This window comes from Homo sapiens, chromosome 1, assembly GCF_000001405.40.
Source record: "Homo sapiens chromosome 1, GRCh38.p14 Primary Assembly".
NCBI lineage: Eukaryota > Metazoa > Chordata > Mammalia > Primates > Hominidae > Homo > Homo sapiens.
The window spans coordinates 1,412,661-1,423,989 of record NC_000001.11 but is presented as its reverse complement, the minus strand read 5'-3'; the positions used below and the strand labels follow the sequence as shown (position 1 = coordinate 1,423,989).

Below are 11,329 nucleotides of genomic sequence, written 5' to 3'. Positions count from 1 at the left end.
TGGTGAAACCTCCTGTCTTAAAAAAAAAAAAAATACAAAACTTAGCTGGGCCTGTTGACACGTGCCTGTAGTACCTGCTACTCGGGAAGCTGAGACAGGAGAATTGTTTGAACCCGGGAGGAGGAGGTTGCAGTGAGCCGAGATCAAACCATTGCACTCCAGCCTGGGCAACAGAGCGAGAATCCATCTCAAAAAAAAAAAAAAAAAAAAAAAAGTTAGCCAGGCATGGTGGTGGGCGCCTGTAATCCCAGCATTTTGGGAACCTGTGGAAGGCGGATCACTTGAGGTCAGGAGACCAGCCTGGCCAACATGGTGAAACCCTGTCTTTACTAAAAATACAAAAATTAGCCGGTCATGGCGGTGGGTGCCTATAATCCCAGCTACTTGGGAGGCTGAGGCAGGAGAATCACTTGAAACTGGCAGATGGTGGTTCCAAGTGAGCTGAGATCACACCACTGCACTCCAGCCTGAGTGACAGAGTGAGACTCCGTCTCAAAAATACAAATAAAAAGTTTTAAAAAGTTGCAAAACCTCTGCTTTCTAAGTGCCCCCCAACCAGGTCTCTCGCTTATTCATTCAACAAACACTGCTGAACTGCTACTAAGTCCCAGGGACTGTCATCGGAAAAGGAGGTCCCGATCCAGACCCCGAGAGAGGGTTCTTGGACCCCACACAAGGAAGAATTCGGGGGAGTCCACGGAGTAAACTGAAAGCAAGTTTAATAGGAAAGTAAAGGAATAAGAGAAGGGCTGCCCCATAGGCTGAGCAGCGGCCTGGGCTACTCCGACGAGAACACTTATTGTTGTTTCTTGATATGTACTAAACATGGTGTGGATTATTCCGGACTTTTCCGGGAAAGGGGCAGGCAATTCCCGGAAGTGAGGGTTCTTCCCCCTTTTAGACCATCTAGGGTAACTTCCCGGCATTGCCATGGCAACTGTAAATGGTCCTGGTGCTGGTGGGCGTGTCTCATGCTAATGTATTATAATCAGCACATAATGAGCAGTGAGGACTGGCTGTCTTGGTTTTGGTGGTTTGGGGCCGGCTTCTTCACGGCATCCTGTTTTATCAGCGGGGTCTTTGTGATCTGTATCTTGTGCTGATCTCATCCTGTGACTAAGAATGCCTGACCTCCAGGGAATGCGGCCCAGCCGGTCTCGGCCTCATTTTACCCAGCCCCTGTTCAAGATGGAGTCGCTCTGGTTCGAACGTCTCTGCAGAATCACTCCAGGTTCTTTGGATTCATGGCAAAGGGGCTGCGGCCTCTGCCCCTCCGTGCCCCACTGTGTGTGGGTCCTACAAGCATTGCAGAGGCAGCTGTGGCTGCCCCCACTGCGGTGGAACCCGGGAGACGGGAGTCTTGGGAGGGGCCTCCTCGAGGTCCATTCTAGCCGCTGTACCCCTGGGAAGCTGGCGTGAGGTAGTTTCTGTGGCCTCCCTGGCCCTGATGAGTACGGGACTTTCCACCCAGCCCCCAGAGCTCCTCGCTTCTTTCCCGGTCAGCCTTACGGAGCTTTCCTTCTAGAAGAGGAAGGCAGACATTTAAATAAACACATAGATACTTTCCTGTAGTGATAAATGCTAAGAACAAACTAAAACAGGGTTAGAGTCGCACGTTGCCTCAGATCCACCTGTGGTCAGGATCTGGGAAGGTGACGGATGAGTAGCCTGATGAGGTTTGTAGGGCAGGGTCTGTGTGGCTTGGGGGGTGGTGGGATGGGGCCCCTGGTCCCTTGGGCCCTTGGAGAGGCAGTCCTCTAGGGAGTGGGGGAGGCCAGACCAGGGCCCTCAGGAGACCCTGTCCTTGGGGACCTGGGAGGCTGAAGGGGGCTGGGGTGGGAATGGGTAGCCCTCATTACCTTTCCCGTGCAGCCGCTGGAGGGGCCAGGCTGCTGCAGCCACCCCAAAGAGCCATGCTCCCTTCTCCTGCCTGGCCCCAGGTACTGGGAGACAGGAAGATGCCCTCAGCACCAGCCCCACCCATCCTGCCCCAGGCCCCCAGGATCCCGCTGCCCCAGGCCTTGCTGGGGCAGAGCTGCTTTTCCAGATGCAGACGCACCCTAGCAGGGATTCTCCCCACTCTCCCGCCTGCCCCCCGACCCCCGCCCCCACCTGCCCAGGCATCTGTCCCTTCCCTGGCTCCAGACTTGCCCCAGCCAGTCCCCAAAGGGTTTTCGTCCCTCCCATGCCAGCGCCACCCTCTTTTCCAGGCCACCTGCCTGGAGTCCTTGGTGAATCTTTTGTCCTGTCCAGCATTTACAGAAAGGAAGGCCAGAACCTCACCCTGCCCTCCTCCCCAGCCTGGAATCGGGAGGAGGGGCCGGCACCCACCCCTGGGTGGGCTTAGCCAGCTGGGACAGGAGTGGGTGAGGGGGCTGCCCGAGGGTGGGCCCCATGGAGAGCCCTGTGAGGCCTTCCAGGGGCACATCGGGGTACATCCAAGGCTGCGCTTCCTGGGGGAGGTGGCGTCTGAGCAACTTTCGTCCACAAGCATGTTCCTGCTTGTCCTCCCCAACCGCCTGGCCTTTGTTCCCCAGGAGGGCAGCCGAACTGGGGCCCTGGCAGCCAGCAGGGGAGGGAGTATGTTGGACAGGGGGCTGTGCCCGAAGGCAGGGCCTTCCTAAGTGGCTGAGTAAACAGCGTCAGGTGGCCTCAGCCTGGCCCAGGGGACCAGCTGTGTTCTCCCACCCCCTGCAAGGCTGAAGCTGCCACCATTCAGCTTTTCAGCAGCAGACACTCCACCCCAAAGCCTGCAGAAGGGATTTTGTGAAGAGGGTCACCAGGCTGAGCCTCGGCCAGAACCCGTCTACAGAGGACCCTCAGCCAGAGCAGAAAGCTCCTGAGCCAGCTCCCTTGGGTAACAGAGCCAAGCCCCTCTGAAGGCTAAGTGGTAACTGGAATGGGGGGCTCCAGTTGGCCTGGGACACGGCTGGGGGCAGGCCAGAGGCCTCCACAGTGGATGTAGGATCCCTGCTCCCCCCCAGATGGACTCCCAGAGGCCTGAGCCCAGAGAGGAGGAGGAGGAGGAACAGGAACTGCGGTGGATGGAGCTGGACTCCGAAGAGGCCCTGGGAACCAGGACAGAGGGGCCTAGTGTTGTCCAGGGCTGGGGGCACCTGCTCCAGGCCGTGTGGAGGGGCCCTGCAGGCCTGGTGACGCAGCTGCTGCGGCAAGGTGCCAGCGTGGAGGAGAGGTGCACCTGCGCTGGGGGGTGAAGGGGTCCCTTCTCTGGGTGGGGCAGGATGGGGGTCCCAGCACTGGGTGGGTGGAGGAGTCCCTTCTCTGGATGGGGTAGGACGGGGGTCCCAGCGCTGGGTGGGCGGCAGGACGGGGTGGGGCAGGGCGGGGTTCTGGTCAGTGGTCCACCCCCGCGCCGACGCCCTTGCCCCCTCCTCAGGGACCACGCAGGCCGGACCCCGCTCCACCTGGCCGTGCTGCGGGGCCACGCGCCCCTGGTGCGTCTCCTGCTGCAGCGAGGGGCCCCGGTGGGCGCGGTGGACCGGGCGGGGCGCACCGCGCTGCACGAGGCCGCCTGGCACGGACACTCGCGGGTGGCCGAGCTGCTGCTGCAGCGCGGGGCCTCGGCGGCGGCTCGCTCCGGGACGGGCCTCACGCCGCTGCACTGGGCCGCTGCCCTGGGCCACACGCTGCTGGCCGCGCGCCTGCTGGAGGCTCCGGGCCCGGGACCCGCGGCAGCGGAGGCGGAGGACGCGCGCGGCTGGACGGCGGCGCACTGGGCGGCCGCGGGCGGGCGGCTGGCGGTGCTGGAGCTGCTGGCGGCCGGCGGCGCGGGCCTGGACGGCGCCCTGCTCGTGGCTGCCGCTGCGGGGCGCGGGGCGGCGCTGCGCTTCCTCCTGGCGCGCGGGGCGCGGGTGGACGCCCGGGATGGCGCGGGGGCCACAGCGCTGGGTCTGGCGGCCGCCCTAGGCCGCTCCCAGGTACGTCCCGCCCTCCGCCCGGCAGTGATGGGAGGGGGCGCAGGGCCAGGATCCCCAGAGACGTGCCACCGGGGCAGCTGGAGCCAGGCTGGGGGACGGTGTCCAGGCACGAAGGCCCTGAGCGCGCCCCCGGCTGTGCCCCTCCGGTGTAGCCCCGTCCCGTGGAGACCAGGGCGGGATCCGAGGCCCGGGGCTCGGCTTCATGCTGGTGGCAGCAACAGACTCTCCGCCAGCGCCGGGCCTGTGCCTGAGACCCCCGTTCCTGGGCAGCGGGCAGGGTGTTGGCTGCAGATCCTTGGATTTGCTCTAAGGACTCTTAGGGGGAAAAGTGGACGTTTCCAAGCAGGCCAGCCTTGGGTTCGGCCTCACAACATGAGGAAGTGGTGTCAGGAGAGACAGGCCGCTGCGGGGACAGAAGAGGCCTGGGCTGGGCAAACGCCTGGTGGCTCTGCCCCTCGCCTACCGGGCTGAGGCCGGCCCCTGCTTTTCTCTCCTCTTCTAGGACATTGAGGTGCTGCTGGGCCACGGGGCAGACCCAGGCATCAGGGACAGGCATGGCCGCTCTGCGCTGCACAGGGCTGCCGCCCGAGGACACCTGCTTGCCGTCCAGTTGCTGGTCACCCAGGGGGCCGAGGTGGATGCGCGGGACACCCTGGGCCTCACACCCCTGCATCACGCCTCTCGGGAAGGCCACGTGGAGGTTGCCGGCTGCCTGCTGGACAGGGGTGCCCAGGTGGATGCTACCGGCTGGCTCCGAAAGACCCCCCTACACCTGGCTGCAGAGCGAGGGCATGGGCCTACCGTGGGGCTTCTGCTGAGCCGAGGGGCCAGCCCCACTCTGCGGACGCAGTGGGCCGAGGTGGCCCAGATGCCTGAGGGGGACCTGCCCCAGGCGCTGCCTGAACTTGGAGGGGGGGAGAAGGAGTGTGAGGGCATAGAGTCCACGGGCTGAGCCAGACAGCAGGCTCCAGGCTCCACCGCCCCAGTGATTTCCAGGCTCTCTGGCTGAGGCTGCCTGCCTGGAGGGGACATCAGGGAAGAGGCTTCCGGAGGAGGGGATGGGAGAAAGTAGGGGATGTGGCTTGAGCTGCAGTCACAGGCCTTGGCTGGACCAGGGATGGCCCCCAGCTCCCAGGAGGGCCCACTGACCCTGCAGCTCCAGCCTTCTCCATACTTCAACAAAGAATGAGTTGTGGCAATGAGGGAAGAGAGACCCTCTCATAGTGTTTTATACTCAGTACCTGTTTTAAGAAAAAACAACAAGGAAGTAAAACCAAAGACAGGCAGGCAGCCTGGCGCTAGGCCCGAAACCAGGCCTGCGCCTGCCTGGCCTAAACCCAGTAGTTGAAAATCAATTCATAACTTAGAAACCGATGTTATTCATAGATTCCAGACATTGTATAGAAGAACATTTGTGAAACTCCCTGCCGTGTTCTGTTTCTCTCTGACCGCCGGTGCATGCAGCCCCTGTCACGTACCGCCTGCTTGCTCAAATCAATGACGACCCTTTCATGTGAAATCTTCGGTGTTGTGAGCCCTTAAAAGGGACAGAAATTGTGCACTTGGGGAGCTCGGATTTTAAGGCAGTAGCTTGCCGATGCTCCCAGCTGAATAAAGCCCTTCCTTCTACAACTGGGTGTCTGAGAGGTTTTGTCTGCGGCTCGTCCTGCTACATTTCTTGGTTCCCTGACTGGGAAACGAGGTAACTGACAGACGACCGAGGCAGCCCCTTAGGCGGCTTAGGCCTGCCCCGTGGAGCATCCCTGCGGGGGACTCCGGCCAGCCTGAGTGACGTGAGCTAAAGAGCGCTCCCGGGTAGGAAATTGCCTCGGTGGAACACCTCGCCAGAGCAGCCCATAACGGGCCCCCATGGTGGATTAACACAGTGGCTGAACACCGGGAAGGAACTGGCACTTGGAGTCCGGACATCTGAAACCTGGTAAGACTAGTCTTTGGAACTTGCCCCACTCCACCTGAGTAGACGCGTGGCCTGATCGCCCACGGCGTGCCTGCATTAGCACCTTTGTTCTGGTTTTGACTTGACTGAGATCATGTGATACTTTGGTTTTGGTTTTGACCTGGCTTGGATTTCTGGATACTCTGATTTTGGTTTTGATTTTGGTTTGGTGTAAACTGCAAAAGTGTGTGTGTGCCCTTTTTACCTGTTTTTTGTTTTGTGGTGTGAGCGTGGTGTTTTGTCTTGAAGAAGCGTGGGTCAGGCACAGATAAGCCCACCCCACTAGGAACTATGTTAAAAAAAATTTTTCAAGAAAGAATTTAAGGGAGATTACGGTGTTACTCTGACACCAGGAAAACTTACAACTTTGTGTGAAATAGACTTGTCAGCATTAGAGGTGGGTTGGCCATCAGAAGGAAGCCTGGACAGGTCCCTTGTTTCAAAGGTATGACACAAGGTAACGTGTAAGCCAAGGCACCCAGGCCAGTTTCCGTACATGGACAGTTAGAGCAGGTTTTAGACCCCCTCCCCCCTACGGTAGTTAAGAGAACAGCAGCATAAGCGGCTGGCAGAGGCAAGGAAAGACCAGCAGAGAGAAAAAGAGGCCATCTATACCAATTCTAAGTTAATTTAGACTAAACAAGGTCTTATTAATAGCAAAGGATAATTGAAATCCCAAACTTCCAAGGTTTTCAACAAAAGCGAAGTTTGCTAAAAGTTAACAGTGTAACATGTTAATGGTAACTTTTAATCTTGTGGCCTCAGACAGTCTAGTCCAAAGACATAAAAAAAGTTCGCTTTAAAAAAGAAAAAAAAAGGGGAGGCTGAATTTATGTGAAAAGCATGTTATACGGTAAATTCTTGTCCTGAAATATATTAACTGGTTGTTTAAAAGTTTGTAATAAGGCAGAAAGTTGAGATATGTTGAAGAATTGTCGGCGAAAGTTGTAAAACAAAATGTTATAAAAAATTTATGCAAAAAATGTTGTATAATTTAAAAGTAATAAGGCCTCCTGAGTACTATTTTTTTTTTTTTTTTTTTTGAGACGGAGTCTCACTCTGTTGCCCAGGCTGGAGTGCAGTGGCGTGATCTCGGCTCACTGCAAGCTCCGCCTCCCGGGTTCACGCCATTCTCCTGCCTCAGCCTCCCGAGTAGCTGGGACTACAGGCGCCCGCCACCACGCCTGGCTAATTTTTTGTATTTTTAGTAGAGACGGGGTTTCACCGTGTTAGCCAAGATGGTCTCGATCTCCTGACCGCGTGATCCGCCCGCCTCGGCCCCCCAAAGTGCTGGGATTACAGGCGTGAGCCACCGCGCCTGGCCCCTGAGTACTATTAAAAAAAAAAGTTTATGTGCAAGGTGTACAAGAAAAGTAAAATATACCTTTGGTAAAAAAAATTATAAAGGGGCATAAAAATATGGATTTTTACCTACATTAAAAGGTTAAAAAAATTATTGTTTTTAAGAGTTTAAGCAAGTTTTAAAATGTAAATTGTAAAGAAAATTCTGTGTGTAAACATGTTAACTAAAGTTAAAAAGGTATCGTCCAGTTTTTCTGTGAACTGGACATTAAAGTAAAAATGCAACAGGTTTTTCTTAAAGCATCAACCTGCTCTTTAACAAAAGTTATAAAAGGTTAAAAAGAGTCTATAAAATCTTACCTTATGGTCAAACATGAAAAATTGGATAAATATGTCTACAAGGTTTTATTAAAATTAAGTTTAACATTAATAACACACTAATATAAAGGTAAAATTTAGCTTATCTGGTATAAAAATCATACAAGAAGCATTATTAAATATAAAATGGTGTTTAGCTTTCTTTGGTCTAAAAACTAATAAAAATAGGTGCTAAAGGAAACATTCATTTTACTAGAGGATCATGGAAGTTTAAGACTTAAAACAAACTTTGGCAATTAAGACAGCATACCAAGATGCAAAATGCCTGGTTGAAATGGATCAGATATTCCATCTGATGTTAAACAAAAGCAATTGTGATGCTCGTGCACATGGCAGGCCAAAGGCTCTGATTGTCCCCCTTCCACTAAGGTGGTCCTTCAGTCGACCAGGCGTGGGCTGCACGGTAGCTCTTTTCCAGGATTCTACAGCCTGGAGCAGCAAGTCATGCCAAGCTCTCCCCGCTACATTCTGCAGTCCCTGCGGGTCAGCCCCCGAGGGCCATCCAGCTTCCGTCTCCCAAAACTAAGTTCCCTTCGTGTCTCTCACGGCAGGGAGGAGACTTAGCAGTCCTTGGAGACTGGAAGGGATGCAGTGAGCTTAAGAATTTTCGAGAGCTTATCAATCAGTCAGCCCTTGTTCATCCCTGAGCGGATGTGAGCGGATGTGTGGTGGTATTGTGGTGGACCTGTACTGGGCACTCTGCCGAATAACTAGAGTGGCACTTGTGCTTTAGTCCGTTTGGCTATCCCTTTCACCCTGGCATTTCATCAACCAGAGGAGAAAAAAAAAAAAAGACATCGTAAAGCGAGAGAAGCCCCTTATGGGTCTTTCAACTCTCACATCTATTTAGACGCAATTGGAGCCCCACAAGGGACACCAGATCAATTTAAAGCTTGAAATCAAATAGTTACAGGATTTAAGTCAATATTTTGGTAGATGACAGTCAATAAAAATGTAGATTAGATAAACTACATCCATTCCAACCAACAGCAACGAGCTTTTCATGAGTCAAAAAGAAAAACTCATGTCAGCCCCAGCCCCGAGGCTACCTGACCTGACAAAACTCTTTACACTCTATGTGTCAGAAAGAGAAAAAATAGCAGTTGGAGTTTTAACCCAGACCGTAGAGCCCTGGCCAAGGCCAGTGGCCTATCTCTCAAAACAACTAGACGGGGTTTCCAAAGGCTGCCCCCCTGTCCAAGGGCCCTGGCAGCAACGGCCCTGTTAGCACAAGAAGCAGATAAGCTAACTCTTAGGCAAAACCTAAAGTCCCCCCATGCTGTGGTGACTTTAATAAATACCAAAGGACATCATTAGCTAATGAATTCTAGACTAACTAGATACCAAAGCTTGCTCTGTGAAAATCCCCACATAACCACTGAAGTTTGCAAAACCCTAAACCCTGCCACCTTGCTCCCAGTATCAGAGAGCTCAGTGAAACTTAACTGTGTAGAAGTGTTGGACTCAGTTTATTCTAGGGGGCCCAACCACCGAGACCATCTTTAAACATCAGTAGACTCGAGCTGTACGTGGACGGGAGCAGCTTCGCCAACCCCTGCAAAGTGACTCTGAAGAAGACGACAAGCCCTGCTCCAGTCACACCCGGAAGCTGACTGGTCCACGTACAGCCGAAGCATGAGGAAACTCATCGCGGGACTCATTTTCCTTAAAATTTGGACTTGTACAGTAAGGACTTCAACTGACCTTCCTCAGACTGAGAACTGTTTCCAGTATATACATCAAGTCACTGAGGTAAGACAAAAGATTGCTACAGTCCTATTATTTTATGGTTATTGTAAGTGTACCAGGATTCTAAAAGAAACTTGTTTGTATGATGCTATTCTATCCAAGGTATGCAGCCCAGGAAATAACCAAACTGATGCGTGTTATGACCCATTTTAAGCCTCCCATGATCACAGGACTGGTCCTTTTCTAGGTGACACAAGTAAGTTAATAGCTAGAACAGAAGAAAGAGGGGTCCCCAAAAATGTAACCTTAAAATTTGAGGCTGGTGCCGCTATTAATAGTTAGCAGCATGGAATAGGATGCAGTTCTCTAAATTGGAAAAAAAGTTACACAGTAAAAAAAAAATAAGTATATCTGTCAAGAATCACATTTATGTGAGATGTGTCAATACTGGTCTTGTGTCATTTGGGCTACTTGGAAAGAAGATAAAAAAGATCCTGTTTGGCTCCAAAAAGGAAAAGTCAGCCCCTCCTGCACGAGTGGGAGCTACAACCTTTTAGAATTGATAATCACAAACCCTTCAGACCCAAAGTGGAATAAAAAAAAGTGTTAACATTAGGCATTGACAGAAAAGGCTTAGATCCTAGCGTAAGCATCCTAATAGAAGGAGAGGTTCAATAACGCTCTCCACAACCATATTGCAGACTTTCTATGATGAACTAAATGTGTCAGTACCTGAGATTCCAGCAAAAACTAAAACTTTGTTTTTGCAATTAGCCGAACATGGAGCCCAGTCTCTACAAGTCACCTCTAGCTGTGTTTGCGGAGGAACCGTAACAGGAGATCAGCGGCCATGGGAAGCCCGAGAATTAGTTCCTACAGACCCAGTTCCTGATGAATTCCCAGCCCAAAAGAACCACCCTGACAATTTTTGAGTTCTAAAAGTCTCAATTATTGGACAGTATTGCATAGCTTGAGAAGGAAAAGGATTCACTCATCCTGTAGGGCGGCTTGGTTGTCTTGGGCAAAAGCTGTATAACGGTACCACAAAAACAGTTACATGGTGGAGTTCCAATTACACAGAAAGAAATCCATTCAGTAAATTTCCAAAGTTGCAGACTGTTTGGGCCTACCCAGAACTCCACCGGGACTGGACGGCCCCCACCGGGTTATACTGGATATGTGGACCCAGAGCTTATGCTAAGCTGCCTGATCAATGGACAGGTAGCTGTGTAATTGGCACCATGAAGCCATCTTTCTTCTTACTGCCCATAAAAACAGGTGAACGTCTGGGCTTCCCAGTCTATGCTTCCCGCGAAAAACGAAGCATAGCCATAAGTGATTGGAAAGATGATGAATGGCCCCCTGAAAAAATCATACAATACTACGGACCCGCCACTTGGGCAGAAGATGGCTCATGGGGATATCGAACCCCCATCTACGTGCTCAACCGAATCATACGGTTACAAGCTGTTTTAGAAATTATTACTATAAACCTGGTCAAGCCTTGACTGTTCTTGCCCGGCAAGAGACTTTGATGAGAAATGCTAGCTCTCAAAATAGACCAGCTCTTGACTACTTGCTAGCAGCTGAAGGAGGAGTTTGTGAAAAATTTAGCCTTACTAATCGTTGTCTACACATAGATGATCAGGGGCAAGTAGCTGAGAATATAGTTAAAGATATAACAAAACTGGCACACGTACCCGTGCACGTGTGGCATGGACTCAATCCAGGAGCCATGTTTAGAAATTAGTTCCCAGCAATAGGAGGATTTAAAACTCTTATAACAAGAGTAACAATAGTAATAGGAACCTGCTTACTGCTCCCTTGTCTGATACCTGTATTTCTCCAAATGATAAAAAACTTCATCACTACCTTAGTTCACCAAAATGCTTCAGCACAAGCATACTATATAAATCACTATCAATCTATTGCACAAAAAGACATAAGTAGCAAAAATGAGTGAGAACTCCCACTAATAAAAAGTGAGAGTCTCAAAGGGGGGAATGAGGGAAGAGAGAGACCGTCTCATATTGTTTTATACTCAGTACCTATTTTAAGAAAAAAC

The 11,329-nt window shown here is 52.2% G+C and overlaps 1 protein-coding gene and 1 long non-coding RNA gene across 8 annotated transcripts, besides 2 other annotated features; one reads left to right on the top strand and one right to left on the bottom strand.

Annotated features, from left to right (window-relative positions):
• Positions 1-702: 702 nt before the first annotated feature.
• ANKRD65-AS1 (ANKRD65 antisense RNA 1) lies at positions 703-3,824 on the bottom strand. Its single transcript, NR_187360.1, has 2 exons — positions 3,426-3,824; positions 703-1,521 (listed from the first exon to the last, which is right to left on the bottom strand). It is a non-coding gene; the product is annotated as an ANKRD65 antisense RNA 1 (long non-coding RNA).
• On the top strand, positions 2,714-5,570 carry ANKRD65 (ankyrin repeat domain 65). 7 transcript variants are annotated; one of them, NM_001145210.3, is made up of 4 exons: positions 2,714-2,857; positions 2,985-3,193; positions 3,398-3,938; positions 4,441-5,570. In NM_001145210.3, exons 2-4 carry the CDS (start codon positions 2,985-2,987, stop codon positions 4,888-4,890), a joined length of 1,200 nt encoding a protein of 399 aa, NP_001138682.1. In that variant the 5' UTR covers positions 2,714-2,857; the 3' UTR covers positions 4,891-5,570. The 7 variants fall into 7 exon arrangements, with proteins under 7 accessions (NP_001138682.1, XP_005244809.1, XP_006710710.1 ...); XM_005244752.5 differs by having other exon boundaries at positions 2,714-2,890; XM_006710647.4 differs by having other exon boundaries at positions 2,714-2,890; positions 2,966-3,193.
• Positions 5,045-5,494: an enhancer, noted in NCBI's record as "active region_17". NCBI's record gives its function as "activates an Ori minimal core promoter by ATAC-STARR-seq in GM12878 lymphoblastoid cells {active_cell/tissue: GM12878}" and the evidence as "EXISTENCE:reporter gene assay evidence [ECO:0000049][PMID:35858748]".
• Positions 5,662-5,741: an enhancer, noted in NCBI's record as "active region_16". NCBI's record gives its function as "activates an Ori minimal core promoter by ATAC-STARR-seq in GM12878 lymphoblastoid cells {active_cell/tissue: GM12878}" and the evidence as "EXISTENCE:reporter gene assay evidence [ECO:0000049][PMID:35858748]".